At 40.2% G+C, this 25,194-nt stretch overlaps 1 protein-coding gene and 2 pseudogenes across 4 annotated transcripts in view, besides 2 other annotated features; 2 read left to right on the top strand and 1 right to left on the bottom strand.

Annotated features, from left to right (window-relative positions):
- The window catches only part of RB1 (RB transcriptional corepressor 1), a 178,140-nt gene that overhangs the window by 152,339 nt on the left and 607 nt on the right, over positions 1-25,194 (bottom strand). For all 4 annotated transcript variants that reach the window (NM_001407165.1, NM_000321.3, NM_001407166.1 and 1 more), the window contains exon 2: positions 22,146-22,272. In NM_001407165.1, the coding sequence (NP_001394094.1) occupies positions 22,146-22,272 (127 nt within the window). The remainder of the gene's footprint in view (positions 1-22,145; positions 22,273-25,194) is intronic.
- PCNPP5 (PEST containing nuclear protein pseudogene 5) lies at positions 978-3,174 on the top strand (annotated as a pseudogene).
- Positions 8,997-12,863, top strand: PPP1R26P1 (protein phosphatase 1 regulatory subunit 26 pseudogene 1; annotated as a pseudogene).
- Positions 24,790-24,859: an enhancer, noted in NCBI's record as "active region_7727". NCBI's record gives its function as "activates an Ori minimal core promoter by ATAC-STARR-seq in GM12878 lymphoblastoid cells {active_cell/tissue: GM12878}" and the evidence as "EXISTENCE:reporter gene assay evidence [ECO:0000049][PMID:35858748]".
- Positions 25,100-25,149: an enhancer, noted in NCBI's record as "active region_7726". NCBI's record gives its function as "activates an Ori minimal core promoter by ATAC-STARR-seq in GM12878 lymphoblastoid cells {active_cell/tissue: GM12878}" and the evidence as "EXISTENCE:reporter gene assay evidence [ECO:0000049][PMID:35858748]".

Raw genomic sequence — 25,194 nt, 5'->3', positions numbered from 1 at the left:
AGTTTTCCAATACTTTAAAAAACCTATATGTTTGCTTTCAATAAAGCTACAATAACTAAAATAGCAAATACTTTACCTTTGCTAAAATTCAACGCAGTATAGTAACACAATTTACCTGATGCTGATGAAAAGCACTAGTTGGCAGCTTTGTATATCTTGAATAAAACTAGGGAAAATAATTACTTAATAAACAAAGTTTGGTAGACAGTTTCTGAAACACAGATTCAATGTGGGTGAAAACTAATAATAGGTACCTGATGATTTTCAAGTACACTGTAATTCTGAATCAACCTGTCTTTAAAAATAGTTTTTAGAATATGAAAATGCAATATCAAGATGCATATAAATGAGGTAAATTAAAACAGGAACATAAGTAGAAATGTTTATTTTATATTCTTTGTTTAATAAAATAATTTACTCCAAAACTCTGCTAAATATCTAGGTCTCATAAACTTGATTAAATGTTTATAGTTGAATACATAAGAGACAGAAATAACTACCAATCTGAACATCAATAATTATGACTATCAGGCCTTTAAAATTATAATGTACATAAATAAGGAAAGTTATAATGTATATAAATAAGGAAAAAAATACTTCACTGACATTATAGCCATCTATTTCAAGACTACATCTGTTAGATCTATATTATATTTATATAGAATGGAGAGATATTTAAAGCACAGGAAAACAATTAGTTTTATTAAATTGAGACTTAAAGATATCCTAACTCATCTGGAGCCTATAATAATCTCCACACTGATTTGAATCCTATGAGAGAGGTGTTATAGCAGTGTTTGCTGTATCCTTCTTGTATCTATTTCTGACAGAAAGGACAAGACTTAGGGCTTGACTCTTGACTGCTGGGAGCTGGGGGTGGAGAAAGTTAAAAGAAATACCTTGTAGCTATTTTCTATATCTAATTATTTATATCCCAACTTGTATTAGAAAGATTTCTGAAATCTTAAAAAAACAATGCGGCGGGGGAAATGGCTGATGGGAAGGCGGGAGAGGAGAAGCCGGAAAAGTCGCAATGAGCTGGAGCTGCTGGAGTAATGGAGAGGAAAGTTCCAGCCGCAGCGCTGAGAAGCGATCAGCTGAAGAAGAAGCTGCAGACCTCCAACAAAGCCTGCAAAGATCTCCAACTTTGGATTTGCCATAGGTAGTCAGACGACAAAGAAAGCATCACCCATATCCATCAAACTTGGATCAAGTAAGCCTAAAGAAACTGTTCCAACTCTTGCTCCAAAAACTCTTTCAGTAGCAGCAGCTTTTAATGAAGATGAAGATAGTGAATCAGAGGAAAGGCCTCCAGAAGCAAAGATGAGGATGAAGAATATTGCAAGGGATACACCAACATCAGCTGGACCAAACTCCTTCAATAAAGGAAAGCATGGGTTTTCTGATAACCAGAAGCTATGGGAGTGGAATATAAAATCTCATCTTCGAAATGTCTATGACCAAGACAATTAAATGATGTTTTGAAATTGGGGTGTGGGTGGGTATAAAGTTAAAAAGAACAGTTTCCTTTTTTTAAGAATGGTATAAGACTACCTTTGGAGCCACTTTTTTTTTCTTTTTCATCTTTTTAAAAGATTGAGTGGTACACCAATAAATGAGAGTTTGAAATTAGAGGTAATTTATGTTTTGTATACAGATTTCAAGACATTTGCTAATTTGGTAGTTTTGTGTGATTAGTTTCCAAAGTTTACAGATAATAAAGAAATCAGAAATGGTACCTTTTTAAGAATTGCCTATTTTTTTAGACACAACTATTAGCACATTAAGAGGGAAGCAAAAAGTTAATTGTCTATTTAAAACTGCAAGCAGTTACTCTCTTAACTCCCTTATTACCTAAACTTGTCTGGCTCCCAGGAATAGCCTTATAGAGAGAGGGAGTATTGTATTGGGAGGAAAATGTTACTGAACTATTGACTGAAAGTACATTTAGATAAAATTAAAATACAGCTTTTTTCTTCATGGGCATTTGTTTTCTTTCAAGTCATCATAAACTAGGTGTTGCATTGCTATCAGTGGATACAGACGCTTAGCTCTTAAAATAACTTTTTTATATGTAAACTGTTGAATATTTGAAATAGCCCACTTCACCTTAATGGGTCTTGTCTATCTTCATTAATCTTCAAAGAAAAACCATTTGCTACCAAAGTAAATCAGTATTTTGAATGTGCTTCTCTTGTTTTTTGTTTATTAGCTAGTTCCTGTAAGCATTTCCACCAGAACTTGAAGCGAATCATAAGAAAACTGTTTCTTTTAAAATACAAACCACCACCAAAAATTTAAATGTACATATTGCTTAAGTATTTGGCTGCTTTTATTTTTTAAAAGGTATAAACACCAAAAAAAAAAAATTTAACATTGTATGAAGATGGAAAACAAGAAGATGCACTTTCTGTAACTTTGTCCAAGGATTTAAATTACTAACTTGTGAAATCCAATTTGAATTGAACTTAACTACTGGCTTTCTTACTAGTAAAATTATATGGTTTATTTTAAATGTATACATATTGACCAATGGCCTCTCAAAAAGCACATTTTAGATACTGAAATAGAAGGAAAGAAAATGCATCTTCAAACATTTTTTGGAATCTCACCACACATACTTTGTGAATTTGTGTATTGTAGGGTGTTTTCTTTTTGTATTTTTGTATTGTATACGAACTTTTTTTTTAATGTGACAGTTAAACACATCTTTAAAAGCACAGTCACAGACAAAAAAAAATACAGTATAAAAATTTCCTTGAAAACTCCTACTACAATATTGTATTTGGAGGCAGCTTCAGACCGTTTTATTGGTGGTAACTGCTCGCTGAGCTCTTTTAGTCGGTAATAACTCAGAGAAGCAACCTGTGTATATTCCTAACTCTTTGTTAACTAGTATTTAAGTTTAGAATAAGCCCCAGGTAAAACAATGGAAATGTATATAGAACTCTTAGTTCTTATATGATTTAATTATATCAAGATACTTGAATTTAACTCACTTTAATGTAGGCAAACTATCCATTTTTGTCCATTTTCCTGTTTGTTAAAATAACATACCTCTTCTGATATTCTTTTCTTGACCCAAATGAAATATTAACCTAAGGTCAAGCTGGGAGAGAGAAACAACTGAGATGAATGTCTTTAATAAAATACCAATAAATTTGTCAAACTCAAAAACAAACAAACAAACAAAAAACAAGACCAAAAAAATCCAAAATAAGTGGGTAAAGAAAGACAGTATTTTTTTTTATTCATTGAGATACAGAGGAAAAAAAAGAAATTAGGCATTTTTACGGAGGATAATTTTGGATACTGTTTGCTTATGTATTCGATTTATTCAATAAATATTTACTAAATGCCTACTAAGCATCAAACACTATTCTAACTGCTAGAAATATATATTAGTGAACAAAACAAACATTCCTGTTTCTTGGAGCAGAGGGAAAAAGACAGTAACCAAAAAGCAGTATAAATAGGTAAACCATATACTATGCTAGAAAAGGAATAGAGTGCAATGGATAGAGAAGTTCAGGGAGAAGTAGGGGCAGGTTACAGTATTAAGCAGAGTGGTCACGATAGGCCTCTTTGGTAAAGTGAGATTTGAGCAAAGACTATTCTATGAGCAAAGACTTCATTCTATGAGCAAATTTAAAATTTTTAAATGTGAATACCTTCTGACCTAGCAGTTCTACTTCTAGGAATCTACACTATAAAAGTACTCTCATTTGTGCATGAAAATGTATATATAAGGATAATTCACCGCAACGGTTTGTAGTATTACACATTCAAAAACAAACTAAATGTCTCTCAACAATGAAATTCATAAATAAATTATGATATACCCAAAAAATAAAAAAAAAATCCACTAAAAGGATTAAGCTAAATACAGAGGGAGATGTGCTCTTCAAGATATATTGCTAAATGAAAAAAGCAAGGTGTAGAATAATGCAAAACTAGAAACTTTTATTAGTTGCCTCTGAAGAGAAGTGGGTGGCTTAGGGAAAGGAATGAGGAGACTTTTTACTGTTTATACTTTTCTTTCGTTTGAATCTTGAACCATGTGAATCTAATGCCTATTCCAAAATTACTGATGATGACTTGTTAAAAGGTGTAGATAAGTAAGACTTCAATTGGGTAAAATTAAAATCCTTGTGTATATGCTGGAGGAAGGAAAAACTGGAGGGACAGAGTAAGCAAAAACTATCAATGGTCATTTCTATGGATATAACTAGGAATAGAAAAAGAGCAATGTTTTTCAGGGACATGGATAGAGCTGGAGGCCATTATCCTTAGCAAACTAACGCAGGAACAGAAAACCAAATGCTGCATGTTCTCACTTATAAGTAGGAGCTAGATAATGAGAACACATGGACACACACAGGGGAACAAGACACACTGGGACCTATCAGAGGGTGGAGGGTGGGAGAGGAAGCGGATTAGGACAAACAACTAGTAGGTATTGGACTTCATTCCTGGGCAATGAAATAATCTGTACAACAAACCCCCATGACATAAGTTTACCTATGTAACAAAACTGCACATGTACCCCTGAACTTAAAAAAAAAAACAAATCCCATGCAGTGAGATACTACTCAGTAATGAGAATAAATAAATTGTTGATGCATATGCCATCATGAATGAAGCTCCAAATAATTATGTTAAAACAGTAAAAAAAAACAAAAACAAAAACAAACAAACAAAAAAAAAACAAAAGCACAACTGCTTGTGGCAATGTAAATTAGTAGAGCCACTATAAAAGAATAGTTTAGAGGTTCCTCAAAAAAATAAAAATAAAACTACCATATGATACAGCAATCCCACCACTGGGTATATATCCAAAAGAAATAAAAACAGTATATCAAAGAGATATCTGCATTCCCATGTTGAATGCTGCATTTTTCCCAACAGCCAAGACATGGAATTAACCTGAATGCCCATTAATGGATGCATGGATAAAGAAAATGTGGTACATATAAACAATGGAATGTTATTCAGCCATAAAACAGAATGAAATCCTGTCATTTGGAACCAGAGAACATCATGTTAAGTGAAATAAGCCAGGCACAGAAGGACAAGTACATGTTCTCACTTACAAGCAAGAGCTTAAAAAAAAAAAAAAATATTGAACTCATGGAGACAGAGTAGAATGATGATTACCAGAAGCTGTGAAGGGTAGTGGGGATGGGAGGATAAAAGAGGAGTTGGTTAATGGGTACAAAAAGACAGTTAGATAGAAGGAACAAGATCTAGTGTTCTATGGAAACACTATATAGTCACAATACAGTGACTATAGTTAACAATAATTTATTGTATATTTCAAAATAACTAAAAGATTAGAATTGGAATGCTCCTAACACAAATAAATGATAAAAGCTTAAGATGATGGATACTCCAACTACCATGATTTGGTCATTACACATTATATGCTTGTATCAAAACATCACATGTATCCCATAAATATGTACACCTATTATGTCTCCATAATAATTAAAAATAAAAAATTTTAAAGTAAAAAAGGAGAGCAACAGAGATCCGCTCTTTATTACTATAAAGTGTGATTTATGTTAAAACAAGTCTTTATTTACTTATAATTGTGAAAGTAAAATATAGAAAGGTGAAAAAAATGACAAGAAAAATGTTAGTATCCCCCAAAATGCATGCTATCATGAAAGCTGGCAGTTAAAACAGTAACAAACAATTATAAGATTCATAGTATCTATAAGGTTAAATTAAATTAATTAGTTAGCTTCTCCAGGAAAGCTTAATGGGTCTTGGACCAAAGATTTCTTCCATGGTTCCTCATGAAGAAGAAAACACGCTGTAGTAAATAATATTGGCCAAGAGTGAAAACTTTTATGAAGTCAAAGCCTTAAAGAACAAGCAATTCTAAAAGTAGGCAGTACAATTATATATAAGATATATCTGACTATTACATGATGAAAGTACATGATGATGAACTTTAATAGAGTTATCCAATACACACATTAAGTATAAACATTGGGTAGTGAAAAAACAGGGAAAAATCGTTTGATCAAAATTTTTTAGAGAATAGAGAAATAAAGAAAAATCAATGAAACCAGAAAAAAAAACTTTAAATCACCAACATTGAGAAACTTCTAGTTAGACTGACCAAGATAAAAGAGAGAAGGCTCAAATTAACCAAAATCGGGAATGAAATAAAAAAAAATTACTACTAACCTTACAGAAATAAAAAGGATTATAATGGCAATGCCATGAACAATTATTTGCCAATGAACTAGGTAACTTAGATGAGGTAGACAAATTCCTAGAAAAATATAAAGTATAAAAACTGATTCAGAAAGAAACTGACAAACTGAATAAACCTATAACAAGTAAAATGACTGAATTAGTAATTTTGAAACTTTCCACAGAGAAAAGTCCAGGCCCAGATGGCATCACTGATGAATTCTACCAAATATTTAAAGAAGAATTAATATCTATTCTTCACAAACTGCCCCATCAAAACAGAAGAGGAGGGAACACTTCCCAGTCCATTCTGTGAAAGGCCAGTATTATCTTGATACTAAAATCAGACAAAGACAGCACAAGGAAAAAAACTAAAGACCAAAATCTCTTATAAATACACGTATAGAAATCCTCAAAAAAAAAAATTAGCAAACCAAATCTAGCAACATATCAAAAGGATTATACATTGTGACCAAGTGGGACTTATTCCAGAGATGCAATGTTGGTTTAACACCTGAAAATCAACTAATATACTACACCATTTCAATAAAGAACAAGAACTACATTATTATATCAATAGAAGCAGAAAAATCATTTGACAAAATCCAACACCCTTTCATAACAAAACACTCAACACCCTAGAAATAAAAAATTCTTCAACTGATGAAAGGCATCTACAAAAACCCCACAGCTAACATCTACTTAATGGTGAAAAACTGGATGGTCTCCCACTAAGATCCAGGAAGAGACAACAATGTCCTTCTCATCATTCTATTCAACATTCTATTGGAGATTTTAGACAAAGCAATTAGGCAAGAAAAAGAAATAAAAGGTATCCAGATTTTAAAGGAAGAAGTAAAACTATCTCTATTTGCAAATGACATTATTTTACATCTAGAAAATCCTAAGGAATTCACTAAGAAACTATTGAAGCTAATAAATTAGTTCACCAAGTTTTCAGAGTACAAAATCAACATACAAAAACCACCTGTATTTCTATATACAGCTAAGTAATATGGAAACAACCTATGTGTCTGTCAACAGAGAAGTGGATAAACAAAATGTAGTATATATAAACAATGGAATATTATTCAGCCATAAAAAGAAAGGTGATCCTGTCACTTGCCACAACACAGGTGGACATGGAGGCCATTATGCTAAGTGAAATAAGCAGACACAGAAAGAAAATTATTGCATGATCTCATTTATATGTGGAATCTAAAAAATAGGGGGTGTCACCAAAAACAAATGCAACAAAAACAAAACTAAGTAAATGGGACTTAAACTAAAAAGTTTCTGCATAGCAAAATAAATAATCAACAGAGAAAAGAGACAACCCTCAGAATGGGAGAAAATATTTACAAACTATACATCCAACAAAGGATCCAGAATCTACAAGAAACTCAAGAAAATCAGCAAGAAGAAAACAAATAATCCTGTTAAAAAGTGGACAAACTAGATGAATGGATTTTTTTTGTTGCTGTTTTTGCAATGCAGTTTCACTCCTGTCGTCCAGGCTGGAGTGCAATGGCGCAACCTTGGCTCACTGCAACCTCCGCCTCCTGGGTTCATGTCATTCTCCTGCCTCAGTCTCGAGAGTAGCTGGGATTACAGGCGCATGCCACCACGCCCAGCTAATTTTTGTATTTTTAGTAGACACGGAGTTTCACCATGTTAGCCAGGCTGGTCTCGAACTCCTGACCTCAGGTGATCCACCCGCCTTGGCTTCCGAAAGTGCTAGGATTACAGACGTGAGCCACCGCGCCCAGCCAAACGGACATTTTTCAAAAGAAGATACACAAATGGCCAAGAAACATGAAAAATACTCAACATCACCAATCACAAGGGAAATACCAATTAAAACCATAATGAGATACCACCTTATCACAGTCAGAATGAGCATTATTAAAAAGTCAAAAAAAGGTGCGGGGCGGTGGCAGCGGCGCGCGGGGAGGCGGGGCCCGGGCGGAGGGCCCTTGCCCCTCCTCCCCGCGCGGGAGCCGAGGTGGACAGGGAGACCATTATGCTAAGTGAAATAAGCAGACATAGAAAGAAAATTATTGCCTCATTTATATGTGGAATATCAAAAAGGGAGTGTCACCAAAAGCAAATGCAACAAAAACAAAACTAAGTAAATGGGCCAGCCCCAGAGACCCGGGCCCGCCGCCTCCCCCCGGATGCGGGACGCGGGACGCAAGCGCAGGCAGGGTCAGCGCGGTGGGTGGCAGGGGGCCTGGCCGAGTCAAAAGTCTATTTAAAAAGCAGAGAGAGGATGCGTCGGAGTGATAAAGGCCTTATCCTTGGGGCGTTTGGGGACACTGGCTGCAGTTTCACAGTCGACCTAGTTGCAAAGAGAATTTCAAGAGCTCGTTGGTCAGGTCAAGAATAAATCTATGCGTAACGTCGTCCTGATCCTGGGTTTATAGTCGTCGTCCTTTTTAAACTGCAAAGAAGCATTTGCAGACTTTATCTCATGGGCACCACTTGCCACTCTTTTTTTTTTTTTTCTTTTTTGAGACGGAGTCTCGCTCTGTCACCCAGGCTGGAGAGCAGTGGGGCGATCTCAGCTCACTGCAACCTCCACCTTCCGGCTTCAAGCGATTCCCTGGCCTCTGCCTCACGAGTAGCTGGGACTACAGGCTCACACCACCACGCCCGGCTAATTTTTGTATTATTAGTAGAGACGGGGTTTCAGTATGTTGGCCAGGCGGGTCTCAAACTCCTGACCTCGCGATCCGCCCGCCTCGGCCTCTCAAAGTGCTGTGATTACGGGCTTGAGCCACTGCACCCCGCTGCCAACCTTTTGAGTATATGAAGCTGGCAGAGAAATAAAGCGTCGTCCCTCTGCGCGTCCCTCCCCTTCTGCTAGAATGTTTCTCAGGAACGCTACTCCAGGGGTTGCTCCCCAGTCCAAATGGGAGGCCTTTGGCCCACCAGGGAGCTTTAGGTTCCCCGGGTGCTTCTCGGAGGCTGACGAGGGGGTGGAGAGCGTGTCGGTGAGCGCCCGGGTGCAGATGCTCATCAGCACGCTGCAGCGCAGCGGGGTTGCTCGGGGCACCACCGATGAGCGCGCTGCACAGAGGGGCCACAGGGCAGACGCCAAGCCAGCTGCCAAGCCCACCGTGCACAAGGAGCAGCCCGCATTGCCTGCCTGTGGTCTTGTTGCTGACTTTGACCCCATGAGGGAGGAGGAAACTGCAGACTTTGGCCCGTTGGTGCTAGATTCAATGATGATTCCGTGGACCGGGACATTGCGGAAGCCATCCGGGAGTACCTAAAGGCAAAGAGTGGAGCCGCACAGCCCGGGGCTGGCAGGGGCCAGCCAGGCGCAGCCCAGCCTTCCAGGGCTGCAGGCAGTGGCAGTAGATGTAAGCCAGAACTATCTCACGGCAGTGCCCCGACTTCCGTGTGTCCCCCCAAAACTTGTACCTGGCTCAGGTGGTGGCCCTGGCAGCCAGGTGAGATCCAGTGAGGACTAGGGTTCTGCCTTCCCGGTCAGAGCGAGCAGCAACGACTCCTTCGAGCAGAGCATTAAGGCGGAAATAGAACAGCTTCTGAATGAGAAGAGATAGCATGCGACCCAAAAATGTGATGGGGTCAATAGATAAAAAACCAGACCCAAACGAAAATTCGACCAAGTCACTCTTGAAATCCCACGAAGAGCTAGCCGCAAAGGTGGCGCATCGGCAGGGTCTGAAGGGCGCCCATAAAGAGTTCGCCTTTCGCAAACCTCCCCGGTTAGCAAAGACGAACGTGCAGCCCAGAAGCCTCAAGTCCAGGGTCACGACCAAGCAGGAGAACAAGGGCAGCCCGAAGCCAGCAGCCCCCTGCAGCCCTTCAGAAGCACCACAGAATAAAAGCGGGGTCAAGAGGAGCGCTGGCGCCCTGAGAAGGGGAAAGCAAGTCACAAGTGCGGCGCAGGCGCCCGAGGCGTCAGACTCCAGCAGCAACGACGGCACTGAGGAGGCCATCCAGGTGTACTAGCTGCGGCAAACACGCAAGGAGGCCAACGGGGACCTGCCCCAGAGGGCCCAGCGCCGGGAGGAGAGAGGACGCCTGACCCCGCACACAGCACAAGCAGCGCCACAAAAAAGTGCCTTGCGCGAGACCCACAGGAAAACACCCAGCTAGAGGAAGCCAGTGGCCACCAAGGCCACAGACCCTTGCCCGGGGTGCCTAGACGCTGACCATTCCCCACAAGCTCCCGAAGGAAACCAAAGCTCCGCCTCCAGCGAGCCCGGCTTCCAGGAACGAGTTTGTAGAACGGTCCTCGTGCCAGGCAGACACGTCCGCTGAACTGACGCGCGCGGAAGCAATCTTGGGCATTTCCAAGACTACCCTGCCGGCCCCCATGTAAGGCAGCAACAGGTCCCTTTCTGCAAGCCCACGCTTCTACTCCCTGAACGTGCCTTCCCGCTCTGACGGCGACAGTAGCTCCGTGGACAGCGACGACAGCATCGATCAGGAAATCCAGACGTTTTGACCCTCAAGGCATAGTCGGGGAGTTTGCTGGCCAGAGGTGAGAGCTGCTCGCAGGCTGCCCAGGGCCCACTTTCACCGCCTGGCCCCAACAGCCAGACCAGTGGCCCCAAGGCCCCCCTCTCTAAAACACCGGACCCGCTGCTGAGCTGCAAAAGGAAACGTAGAGGCGGCGGCCATGCCATGAGGCCGTCCACGCCCAAGAAAACGCGGGAGGTGGTGAAAGATGGTGGCCAGGATGCCGACCACAGCCAGGCGTGAGCCGTGCCCGGCCATGAGGGGCGGGACCTGCCCGTCCAGGGCAAAGCCAGCGAGGTCCCGGGAGGGGAGGGCGCAGCCAAGGGGCCCGGCGACACTCGCATGACGCAGGGCCAGGGTAAGACAGACGAGGTGAGGCACCTGGACGAGAAGGAGAGCTCCGAAGACAAGAGCAGCTCCCTGGACAGTGACGAGGACCTGGACACGGCCATCAAGGACTTAAGGTCCAAGCGAAAGCTCAAGAAGAGGTGCAGGGAACCCAGGGCTGCGTGCAGGAAGGTCAGGTTCAGCACTGCCCAGATGCACTTCCTGGAGCAGCTGGGCGGGCTCCCGAGAGACTGGAAAGACAGAAGCCCGCCGGTGCTTAATAGCTGACTCTCCAAGTCCAAGAGAGACAGCGGCGAGGGTCCAGGGAACAAACCTCCCAGTGTCTGTGGCAGTATGGCAGAGAAGACGAAGCAGGAGGGCGTCAGGAGCCAGGACACGGCCCCGGCCTTCCGAGTGAGGGGATGCGCCTCTGCCTCCGCCTCTGAAGGGAATCCATTTCCCCAGGGAATGCCAGGGCCCAGCTCCCAGCCCCGGCTCCCTGTCTGACGACAGGAGTTCAGTGGACAGTGACGAGAGCATCGAACTGTAGATTAGTAAGTTTTTGGCGGAAAAGGCCAAGGAGTCTGAGCAGTTCAGAAGTTCAGGCAGAGGGCCCTGCTGCTCTCGGGAAATGGGGCTCATTCAGGCCAGAGTTGCTGTGCAGGAAGGAGCGGGCCCCACCGCCTGGCGTGTGCACGCGGAGTCAGTGGGCCAGGGGGGTCCCACAGCCGGCAGAAGGGCCATGAGGTGCAGAGAGCGCTGGAGCACAGGGCACAGCCGACCTGTTCAGCCAGGGCAGGAAGGGGCTCCCCGCTGCTCCCGCCCAAGGGGATCCGGCACCGCCCAGGAGCACCAGTGGCAGTGTCTCCGCCAAGGGGCTCTCAGCGAGCAGGAGAAATGTTTACATTCAGAAAGACCAGCGCTCACGAGGGGCCGAGCATGCTGCCAGAAGTGCTTTTATTCAGCTGCCCAGCAGTGCCACAGCGGGCACCGAGGCCGGAGGTGCTGGGGGGAGCTTTCACATGGGCTGCGGGAGCCGGGGCTTCCTGACCCCTAGCCAGGAAGCTGAAAGGGACTCTGGAGCCCAGGCTGACCACACCCTGCCCTCGAGCGACTTCACCCACCGGAACCCGTGCGCGCTGCGCTCGGAAAGTAGAGATGCGGAGTGGAGGCGGGGCGTCGGGAGCGGGAAAGACAAGGGGTCCGAGGGCCCCGCCTGGGGCCTGCCCAGCCTACCCCTTGTGGGCTTCTCCCCGCGCTGTCCACCCAGCTCTTCCATTTTGGAAAGGGTGTCTCCCAGGGGGGCAGGCAGGCCAGCCTCTTCAGCCCGACATGGGGCTGCCTCCACAGGGCCCGTCCTTCTCTGCCTTCAGGGAGGCCCAGGCCGGGCCCAGCCCTGTCTTTGGAAGCCCACACTTGCTGGCGAAGAAGGACGGCGGGCCCTGGCCAAGCAGCAAGGCACAGACAGGGCGGAGTTTGCCCGACAGGAGGAACTCGGGCTCGGAGGAAAGCATTTTAGACCTGAGGTATTGACGAAGGGTCATCGATAGGGACGACCAGGACCAGGGCACCTTGGGCGGGCACGCCTTGGTTAGTGACGCCAGTGACTTCAGCGACACTCCGCGCACGGAGGACAGTGGCGGCAGCTCAGCAGTGAAGGTCTAAGCCCTCGAGTTGTGGGTTTGCGTCCCGGTTTGCGTGCATTTGTGGAAAGGAGCGTATCTGTGCGTGTATCCGTGTGTGTGTGTGTGTGTGTGTGTGTGTGTGTGTGTGTGTGTGTGTGTGTGTGTGTGTGTGTGTGATGGTTCTGTGGTTGCAGGGAGGAGAAACAGGAGTCGGTTATACATAGCCCTGTATAGACGTACACCAACATGAAACAATGCTTTTATTTAACAGATGTGTCCTGGTAAATATGATTTCTGTAGCTTTCTGTAAATTATTTAAAGTGATGTAAAAAATATTTTTAGAAAATACTGTTGTTCAATTTTGTAGGGTGTTCCTAATTGCAATTTCCTGTGTTCTGCATACAAGTCTTAGATTAGAAAACATTTGGTTCTTATCATCGCAGCCAAGTTCACAGAGACTCTGATGTTTTTTGGTTGATTGCTGGTGAGAATGTCCGTCGGTGGCTGCAGTGGTAGCCTGAGGAAGGCAGAGCTGCCCTCCCCGGGAATCGCTCAGATGCCCCAAAGTGTCCGTCGGGAAGCTCGCAGGACAGCACTTTTTATACAGAGGACACCCCCGCCCCCCACCGCCCCCCTGGTCCTTGGAGGCCAGAGCACATTTGAAAACTGCAGTCACAGCTGTCCGCTGGAAAAAACGATTTAAAGCACAATGGCCAGCAAGCACGTGAGAGCTCCCTGTTGCATGTGAAATCCCCGCGGATGTCAGCGGCTGCTCTGCAGCTCAGCCCTGGGCCTGGGTGGATTCATGTCCAATCTTTCTGAATCACTAGATGATTCTAACATCTAAATAAACCCCTTTTTATATGGAAAATAAAGTAAAAAAACAATAGATGTTGGCGAGGATGCAGTGAAAAGGGAATGCTTATACACTGTTGGTGGAAATGTAAATTAGCACAACCTCTATGGAAAACAGTGTGAGGATTTCTCAAAGAACTAGAAGCAGATCAACCATTCGATCCAGCAATCCCACTACTGGGTATCTACCCAAAATAAAAGAAGTCATAATATCAAAAAGAAACCTGCACTTGTTTATTGCAGCACAATTCACAACTGCAAAAGTATGGAATCAACTGAAGTGCCCATCAGCCGATTAGTGGATAAAGAAAGTGTGGTATATAGCTCAACAAACTAGGCATTGAAGGAACATACTTCAAAATAATAAGAGCCATCTATGACAAATCCACAGCCAACATCATACTTAAGAGGCAAAAGTTGAAAGCATTCCCCTTGAAAGGCAGAACAAAATAAGGATGCTCTCTCTCACCACTCCTATTCAACATGGTATTGGAAGTCCTAGCCACAGCAATCAGACAAGAGAAGGAAATAAAGAGCATCGGAATAAGAAAAAAGGAAGTCAAACTATTCCTGTTTGCAGATGATGATTTTACACCTAGAAAATCCCATAGTCTCTGATCAAAAGTTCCTTCAGCTGATAAGCAAAGTTTCAGGATATAAAATCAATGTACAAAAATCACTAGCATTCCTGTGTACCAATACCCAAGCTGAGAGCCAAATCAAGAATGCAACCCACTCACAATAGCCACAATAAAGAATAAAATATCTAGGAATACAGCTAACTAGGGAGGTGAAAGCTCTCTACAAGAATTACAAAACACAGCTCAAATAAATCAGAGATGACACGAACAAATGGAAAAACATTCCATGCTCATGGATAAGAAGAATCAATATCATTAAAATGGCCACACTGCCCAAAGCAATTTACAGGTTCAATGCTGTTTCTATCAGACTACCAATGACATTATTCACAGAGTTAGGAAAAAGAAAAAAAAAATCTATTTTAAAATTCATATGGAACTGAAAAAGAGCCCGAATAGTCAAGGCAACCCTACACAAAAAGACCAAAGCTAGAGGCATCACATTACCCAATTTCATCCTTTGAAAAGATGTAGTTCAAAGGATACGAAGTAGCAAATACATAGGATGAACAAGTCCAGAGATCTAATATACAACATGAGGACTATAATAAATAAAATGGTACTGTATTAGAGATTTTTGTTAAATACATAGATTTTAGCTGCTTTTTCTTTTTTTTTTTGCCCAGGCTGGAGTGCAGTGGCACGACTTCGGCTCACTGCAACCTCCGCCTCCCGGGTTCAAGCGATTCTCCTGCCTCAGCCTCCAGAGTAGCTGGGACTACAGGCGCATGCCACCACACCCAGCTAATTTTTTGTATTTTTAGTAGAGACAGGGTTTCACCATGTTGGCCAGGCTGGTCTCAAATTCCTGACCTCAAGTGATCCACCCACCTCGGCCTCCCAAAGTGCTAAGATTACAGGCGTGAGCCTCCGTGCCCAACTGATTTTAGCTGCTCTTATCCAAAAAAAATAGATTTTATTTCTATCCACCTACAATGAATAAGCCAAAAAGGAAAGAAAACAATTCCATTTATAATAATATCACCAAGAATAAATATTTAGTAAGATTTATACTCTGAAAACTGAAAACACTGGTGAAAGAAAGACTTAAACGAAAAGACATTCCATATGCATGCATCTGAAGACTTCATGTTGTTAAGAATGCAATATTCCGCAAATTGATCTAGATCCAACATAATCCCTATCAAAATCCCAGCTGCCTTTTTTTAAAACAGAAATTGACAAATTGATCCTAAAAATTCACATGGAAATTCAAGTACCAAGAGTAACAAAAGTAATCTTGAAAAAGAAAACCAAAGTTGTCGAACTCACACTTCCCTATTTCAAAACATACTACAAAGCTATAAAACATACTACAAAACAGTATGGTACTATCATAAGAATAAACATACGGCCAGGCGCGGTGGCTCACGCCTGTAATCCCAGCACTTTGGGAGGCCGAGGTGGGCGATCACGAGGTCAGGAGATCGAGACCATCCTGGCTAACACAGTGAAACCCCGTCTCTACTAAAAATACAGAAAAATTAGCCGGGCGTGGTGGCAGGCACCTGTAGTCCCAGCTCTTTGGGAGGCTGAGGCAGGAGAATGGCATGAACCCGGGAGGCGGAGCTTGCAGGAAGCCGAGATTGTGCCACCGCACTCCAGCCTGGGCGACAGAGCGAGACTCCGTCTCAAAAAAAAAAAAAAAAAAAAAGAATAAACATACAGAGCAATGGAATAGAACTGAGACTCCAGAAATAAACCCTGGTTTTTATAGTCAACTGATTTTCATCAAGGGCACCAAAACAATTCAATGAAGAAAGAATAGTCTTTTCCATAAGTGGTGCAGAGACAACTGGATATCCACATTCAAAAGACTGGAGTTAGACCTCTTCCTCACATCATACACAAAAATTAACTCAAAAAAAAAAAACAAAAAAAAACCCAAGACTGACAAGAACTAAAAACCATATGACTTTTAGAAGAAAGCACAGAATAAGTCTTCATGACCTTGGGTTAGTCAAGGCCTTCTTAGATACAACATCAAAAGCCCAAGCAACCAAAAAAAAAACCACCACCAAAAAAAAAATAGAAAACTGGACTTCATCAAAATTAAAATCCTACGCTGCAAATGACATCATCAAGAAAGTGAAAAGGCAACTCACAGAATGGGGGGAAAAGTCTGCAAATAATATATCTTATAAGAGATATGCATAAAGGAGAAGCTTTAACTGCATCTTAAAAACAGAATTTAGGCTAAAAGAAAAAAGAAGGGTATTCCAAAAAAAGGGGAGATCGCATGAATATGAATACTATCATATTCATATGGAAGATATTCATATGGAAGATTCATATGGAAGGGAAGAGAACACAGGCATTGGGGGCCAACAATGGAAATAAAAAATAAGACTGGAAGGAAGGTTAAAGCACAGACCATGAAGAACTACAAATACTGAGAAAGTTTGGACTTTACTTCTTCATAATGGTGGTGGGAGCATGGGAGGGTGTTACAATGGAGGCTACTGAGAGTGGGTTGTAACAATGAAAAATAAATTTTAAAGCAAAAGGGGCAAACTGTACACCAGTCTTTTCTAAAAATCAGGCACAGGATGGATTGGATGGAGAAAAGAAGAGACTAGTCAGAAAGAGGCACTAAAACATGCATAAAAAATGCTCAAGTCAATGACATAAGCTTCCACCTTCTGAAATTAAAAAAATAAAAAGGAAATTAAAACCAAAGCAAACAGTAAAAACCAAGCACTGCTGGTAAAAGAAATGAAGGGACAGACGTGAGAGGCAATGCAAAAAGATAACTTGAGACTGAACGGATAGGTTTAAAATAGAAGGAGTCTGGTATAGTTTTAATTAGTCCTATGGACAGACACTGAATACCAAGGTAAACCTGTAAAGAAAGCAAATGGTAGTGTAAAATTCCACTTCTTCCTAGAATGCAGAAAGCTGCAAAGAGTATTGCTCCCACCCTCACAACAAGAACAAGCCAGATAAGGAACAAAAACAACCTTTCTTGAAATCAACATATCCTTTCCTTATATTTCAGATTATTTAATTTCCCCTAAAAAAAGGAACCTCCAATGAGAGAAAAGATATAAATAATGGCTCATCTGTGGCACAACATGAAAGGAAGAGACACAGGGAACCCTAACAAAAGTAAAAAGTATTCAGCTAAAAATTTTTAATGAATGCTGATTACAAAACAACAAAAATCCATTTAAATATAAAAAAGAAATAGGTTAAAATCAAAATGAAGGTAAACGATACACATTGTAAAGAGTGATCACAAGAAAAGTGGAATCGATATGTGGACACTGCAGAACAAAAGATATAAATTTGGATAAAAAAGCACATTACATAATGATAAAGGTACCAATTTACCTAAAAGGCATAAAAATTCTAAACTTGTATGTACCCAAGGATAAAGCTTTAAAATACACTAATAAAGGCCAGGCACAGTGGCTCACGCCTGTAATGCCAGCACTTTGGGAGGCCGAGGGCAGATCATGAGGTCAGGAGTTCGAGACCAGCCTGACTAACACGGTGAAACCCCGTCTCTACTAAAAATACAAAAATTAGCCGGGTGTGGTGGCGCATGCCTATAATCCCAGCTACTCGGGAGGCTGAGACAGGAGAATCGCTTGGACCCGGGAGGCAGAGGTTGCAGTGAGCCGAGATCGTGCCACGCACTCCAGCCTGGGTGACAGAGCAAGACTCCATCTCAAAATAAAATAAAATAAAAAATACATTAATAAAAAACAGAATTTAAAAGGACCATTCTAATTATAGTTGGAGGCTTCATATTTCTCCCTCAATAATTAGTAAAACACATAGAAAGAAAATCAGTAAGGATATGGATGATCTACTGTACCTTTTCTATGTATAGATATACAAATACTTACCATTGTGTTACAATTGCCTACAATGTTCAGTACAGTAACATGCTGTACACATTTGCAGACTAGGAGCAACATGCTATATACCACACAGCATAGGTGTGTCATAGGCTATACCATCCAGGTTTGTGTAAGTACATGCTATGATGTTCACACAACGATGAAATCACCTAATGATGCATTTCTCAGATGTGTTCCCATTGTTAAGCAACACATGACTGTATTTATTTAAAATATAACCACCATATCACAAAAATAAGTAAGTGGTTCTATCAAGAGCAATATATCCCAAAGCTCTTTGAGATATGTATATCATACATTTCATATACATATATATGTATGTATAACAAAAAGCCTATGAGGTTCACATTCAGGCATTATTTCTGCCTTACAGGTGAGCAAACTGAGACTCACAGAATTAACCAATTTGCCTAAAATCATATAGCTACAATATAATTACAACCAAAGTTTCCTGCCTTGAGGTCCAAGGCATTTTCCATTCTACCATACTACCAATCAAGATGCAGAAAGTAAACCAAAATTCTAACAGCTGATTCACCTTAAGTCACAATATGAACATCACCTTAGCCAATTTCTTAATGGAAAGTCCTATTCATATGCTATAATCAGCATAAATACAATCTAACCTTATGAACAAAGCTAATCTTTATTATTACACTTTACTAAATATTTATTTTAAAAAAAGAAAACACTTTTCTAGACAAAATACCACAAACTTTTCCTTTAAAGGGATTAATATATGCTTTCATGTATGCATAAACAACTTTTCTGATGCTAAAGTACTTAAAAATAAGAATTTTAACAAACATTACTACATCAAAATCACTACAATGCATTTAAAATTGTAACCATTTTAACTGATATCCTAAGTTCTCCTAAAAAAAAATACATCAATGATAAAATTTTCTGGGGTATTTCTTAAGTAAAATTATTCTGTTTGCAAGACCTAATATACATACTCATTGACTCTAATAAGAGCTTTATATGCATTAATTTATTTAATCTGCACATAACTCCAAGATCCAGAAATTACTGTCAGTCCCTTTTACAGGTAAGAAAACTAAGGCTTGAAAATTGTAGATAACATGTTCAAGATAATGGAGTTCGGACATGGTATATCTGTTTGACTCTTAATCCTTGCTCTTAACCCATCCTCTATCCCAATAAACATCACCTACTTTCTATTGTTAAAAAGGGTTTCCTTTTTGACAATATTCCTCCTCTTGTTTCAAAGAAGAGAGACAACTGCCACTAGAATAGCTGCACTGGAAACACATTTATTCTGTCATTACATTTGCTTCTTAGAACACACTGTATCACATTCTCCCTTAGATATTATTATATAAATGAAGGTTAAATTCTCAGGCCAAACCTCAAAAACGTAACTCTAACTTAAAATCATATTTCAAGGAAAAGTCTGTTGATTTACAACAGGACAACAGGACATCATCTTCCATCATACCCTTCAAAAGCACACCTCAAATCCCAAAAATAACATGAAATTCCTTTCTTACCTTCCTCCAGTACCTAGCCATAAATAATTTCACACATCCTAGTCCCCATTATGAGCTCCATTAGGAAATAAGATTCAAACTGGGCCAGTTCCCAGGGAAGGTAGAGACAAAGCCAGGATGAAAAAGGGTAATAAAGCAGTAACATTTGCTTATATATGTATTCAATTCTGAAGCTCAAAAGAGCCTCTACTGTTAAAACTATTATTGTTATAGTTTAGTACAAAAAAAAATAAGTTATGTGAACCAGGCTGGAAACCTAACTACTATATCAAACTTGCAAACAGATTTGGAACACAATGCACTTATAAATTGAAAACTACAGTATGTATATTCACTAATGCTCTTTATAATCAGCTATCCCTTCCAAAATTTCTGAACACTAAAAATCTAGTATTTTAGGAAGAGAAAAGTGAAGGAGCTCTGATCCCATTTAATTGTATATGCACAAAAACAGCTTTGTACATGAGGTACCCAAGTCAGTTAAAATATACATTAGATGCCTGGGGATTATAATACCCAAGTCATACATTCAAGATACTTCAGTATTCCTCTCTTTTTACATAAGAAATGTGAGACTATGTTCAATTCTTTGGAAATCATGACACTTGTTTTCTCCTTTTTACTGCCAGAGATTTTATTTAATGGTTTTAAACAATTTTCTTATGGGACATACATAAACACATTCCGCTGTGTTAATCAGATCAGTAAAAACAGATATATACTCTTATACTACTATGTTGAGAAAGTAAATTCATTAAAAGTATCTGTCTGAAGTGTAATCTAGCAATAATCATCAAGAGTCATAAAAATGTTCATAGCTTTTGATTTAGTAATTCAACTTATAAGAATTTATTCTAATAAAATAATCAGAGATTCATTCATTAATTTATTTAACAAGTTATCAAGGACTCACTTTGTGCCAGGCATTATTCTTACGAATACAAATGTTTATTACATTATTTTATAGCATCAAAAAGTTGGAAAAAACCCAAATATCCAGTAAGAGTTAACAAATTAAAATACATCCACTAGCTAAAATATTATACTATCACTAGAAACTATATTACAAAAAAACTTTAATAAGAAAATGCTCATATGAGAAAAAAACAGGAAAATACAAAACTATGTGTAACTACAGGTAACTATACATAACTACATGTATAATCTCAAATTTATATTTGAGATCTTATTTCCTAGGGACCTTGGTCAAGTTACTCAACCTCACTCTACTCAGTGTCTTCATCTGTTAAATGAACATTTCACATTTTACACATAAAAAAAGATTTTATATTTCATATCTCAATGATTTTTAAATGAGTTATTCGTAGATTTGTAAAGTTCTGGGGTTTTTTTTGTTTTTTTTTTGAGATGGAGTCTTCTCTGTTGCCTAGTCTGGAGTGCAGTGGCATGATCACGGCTCACTGCAAACTCTGCCTCCCAGGTTCAAGCAATTCTCCTGCCTCACCCTCCCAAGTAGCTGAGATTACAGGCATCTGCTACCATGCCTGGCTAATTTTTGTATTTTTAGTAGAGATGGGGTTTCACCATGTTGGCCAGGCTGGTCTAGAACTCCTGACCTCAAGTGATCACCTGCCTGGGCCTCCCAAAGTGCTGGGATTACAGGTTTGAGCCACCACGCCCAGCCTTATTTTTATTTATTTTTTTTTGCAACAGGGTCTTCCTGTGTTGCCCAGGCTGGAGTGCAGTGGTGCGATCTTGGCTTACTGTAACCTCCACCTCCCAGGTTCAAGTGATCGTCCCACCTCAGCCTCCCAAGTAGCTGGGACTATAGGCACACACCACCATGCCCGGCTATGTAAAATTCTTATACTATTGCCCCAGTACATATAAAACTCTAGTAATTATTTGCTCCTTTTATTAAACATATACATCTATACTTACGCAAAGAAAAAATGAAAGGAATATATCAATATATTTTCAAGATCCTGAATTCTAACAAAACTAATTCTGAGTCAGTCAGGAAATCTGAACACTGATTGCATATTAGAAGGTATAAAAATTATTTTATAAGGTATGGCGGTGTTTTTTTAAAAGTCCTTGTATCATAGTGAATAAAATATAACTAAGACCTGCTTTAAAATAGTTTGGTGGGAGGCATTTATGGAGGAATTTTTTTCAAACTTTTTTTTTTTTTGAGACAGACTCTCGCTCTGTTGCCAGGCTGGAGTGCAGTGGCACGATCTCGGCTCACTGTAACCTCCACCTCCTGGGTTCAAGCAATTCTCCTGCCTCAGCTTCCCAAATAGCTGGGACTACAGGCGCACGCCACACCCTGCTAATTTTTTTTTTTTTTTTTGTATTTTAGTAGAGACAGGGTTTCACCATGTTGCCCAGGCTGGTCTCGAACTCCTGAGCTCAGGCAATCCACCTGCCTCAGCCTCCCAAAGTGGTAGGATTACAGGCATGAACCACCGTGCCCGGCCTCAAACATTTTTAATGTTAGCAGAGGTAAATTTCCTCTGGGTAATGGAATTATTATTAGCTTTTATTGTCTTTATATTTTTCTATCTTTCAATTTTTGTATAGTGATTTGAAGTTGTTTTTAAAATGAGAAAAAAAAATTTCAAAACGTTTTAAGAAAATCCTTACCAATACTCCATCCACAGATGAAACTTTCTCCCAAGTTAACCAAGCTCTCTCTCTGACATGATCTGGTATCTTTAATTTCTGACATAATGCAGTAAAATCAGGTTCTTCTGTTTCTTCAAACTCAAGCCTACCAAATGAAAATAATCATATAATTGGCATATACTTATAAATCAAATTGATTCAGTACATACTTGTTTCAATAGTTTGCACATAACACTACTGTGAAAAAGAACATTATTAAATACTTTAAGATCTTATTTTATCTTAGAAAAACATTACACTTCAAATTTAAACATATGATTATCTTTTTCATGGTCATTCCAAAATAAGGATACCACACAGTGAAAAATATTTGCTTGCATGGTAAGTCAAATATACTTCAAAGCAGCAAAACACTTCTGTGAAGGAAAGTAAATGTAATAGCTAAAGCTGTTTGGGAAAATAGGATAAAGATAACAACAAAAAGATAAAAACCCATAGATAATATTATACAATTCAACGCCAGTGACTTTGTTAAACTGTAGTCTTCTCTTATCAATGTTTCATATATCTCTCTACCTACTAGCACATCTTACATGATGCGACTGCTTATTTTTGTCCTTTCCCCTTAACAAAGACAAGCATTTAATAAATTCTTGTTGGCTAATTCATTTTCATTCATCTAATTTCTATGTGTTATCTACTAATAAGAATAGTATGAAGAATAATTAATAATTTTTGAGTATTTACTATGATCCTGTAGAAAGTACCTTAAACATATGGTTTCACTGAATCCCGACATCAGCCCTTTTAGATAAGTATTCTCATCTGTAAAAGTAGACATTTACAGATGTCTGTCAAATTGGAGAAGTTAAAGAACTTACCTGAGGTCTCAGCCGGTAAGAGGTAAACCACTATGTGAGCCCAACAGTCTAACTCTATAATCCATGCCCTTGACCACTATTCTAGACTGCCAATTCCTCCTTCAAAACATAATTAGTTTTTGTTTTTTTTTCTTGTTTTGAAATAGGGTTTCACTCTGTCATCCAGGCTGGGGTGCAGTGGTGAAATCATGGCTCACTGCAGTCTCAAACTCCTGGGCTCAAGGGATCCTCCCACCTCAGCCTCCTGAGTAGATGAGCCTACAGGTGTGCCACAGCCACTGGCTAATTTTTTAAAATTTGTTTTAGAGACAGGGTCTTGTTTTGTTGCCCAGGCTCCTCTCAAACTCCTGGCCTCAAGCAATCTTCCCATCTTGGCCTCCCAAAGTGCTGGCATTACAGGCGTGAGCCAACATGCCTGGTCAGCTTTTTTGTTTTTTTAAAGACTGGGGTCTTGCTTTGTTGCCCAGGCTGGCCTCCAACTCCCAAGCTCATGTGATCCTCCTGCCTCAGCCTCCTGAGTAGCATGGACTACAGGTACGCGCCATCACACCCAGCTCGAAACATGATTAACCTTTGATTATTTCAACAATGAATGTGGTATGCTGTTCCTAGTGACAGTTTCCCTTCCAGCTACATTACTTAGGCCAGAGATAAGGCAACAGAAATAAGATCTAAACTCTCAAATCAGGAATGGAATCTGTCACTGGAGGTGCAGTTGGACTGAGCCTTGATTCCATCTCCAGGCAAGATGCTCAGTATCAGACTGCACGGCAGCGGTTCTACCCTTGCTGGTTAATTTATAGAGTTCAACTGTCTATGTTAATGAAACCCTTTGTGGGTATGGATAATCAAGAACAGACTGTATCTTGTATGGTTTTGACTTATAAGAGAATTTTTTATAGTTCCATTACTTAAAATATATAAAATGAGTTAAAAAATGAAAGAAACAGTCCTCTTTTTTCCAAGCAGTGGCCACAACGTCAATATTCCTGGTTACCCTACATTAGAGTATGCTTCCAAAGCTGTGTGCATAACATGGAATTCTTTAGAGTAGCCATTACTGCATTTTCCCAAGGGAAATTTGCAAGAATTGGATACATCAGAATTTAATCAGAAACTAAAGCCATGTCTTTTCCCAGAACATGCCCCAGACGTGGTTTTTAATTTTTTGTTGTTGTTATTTTGGTTTTTTAACGAATATGGTTTTTAACTGACCTATAAGACAGTCCATTTAAATATATAAATTTTTAATAGCCTTCCAGGGGCCATTTCCTAAATCCCACTTCAATCTTTTCTGCCGTGAATTGTTAGTGTATACCGAGTGGAAAGAAATGGGTGAGGGTGAAAGGATTTGGTGATAGACAAGAATGGGAGAGAAAATAGTGAAAAACAGAAACAAGTCCCATTCCCTCTGCAATGAACTTGTCTCAAAGTAGAACCAGTGCTGACAATAATGACAATTACACTCTTTCAATCATAGCTATTTAACCATAAAGTAGAAAAATCAAGAAAAGTAAGATGTTGTAATACAATAAATACTTCCCTTCAAGATCTAGTGCATTCGTATGGACTTGCTTAAATTTAGATTCCACTTAATAAGGGAAAACGAAAATTTCCATTTGCGCACAGAACCACTAATTTTGTGCCAAAAACAAAGGCAAAAAGAGGGGACACCAAGATCCTTGCTGGTTCAAAGTCAAAAGGCAAAATGGAAGAAATAATGAGACAAGCCGAAGCCGACTAACACGCAAGAAGAGTTCATCAAACAGGAAAAAAAAAAGTTTAGAAACTTTCAAGCACTTCTGGTAAATGTCTCATGAAAGTTTTGCCCATGTTTCAGTTCCTCTAAAGAGTTACGCTCCATCAATCACTACAGATGGCTTTGAGTCCCCAAGGCCTCGATGCATTATTGTTCTAAGGAAACGCCGCAAAGCTCCTGAGCCGAGTATCCTGTGGGCAATGGACACTCAGGACCCTGCGCTTCTTGTCCAAGGCTTTCTGGTCGGCCTCTCCCACAAATGGACTTCAGATGCAGTGCACGCCCGGAAGAAAATACTTCCCAACTGTTGCATCGCGTGAACCAAAACAGAAAGTCAGACGACCACCGGAGTACTCCAATTCTCCGGTGAAAAACTCTCCCACAGACACCATTTTTGTATTTTTATTTTTCATTTTTTGCGTCTGAT

The sequence above is a fragment of the Homo sapiens genome, chromosome 13 (genome assembly GCF_000001405.40).
Source record: "Homo sapiens chromosome 13, GRCh38.p14 Primary Assembly".
Lineage (NCBI taxonomy): Eukaryota > Metazoa > Chordata > Mammalia > Primates > Hominidae > Homo > Homo sapiens.
This window is presented reverse-complemented; position numbering and strand designations above follow the sequence as displayed.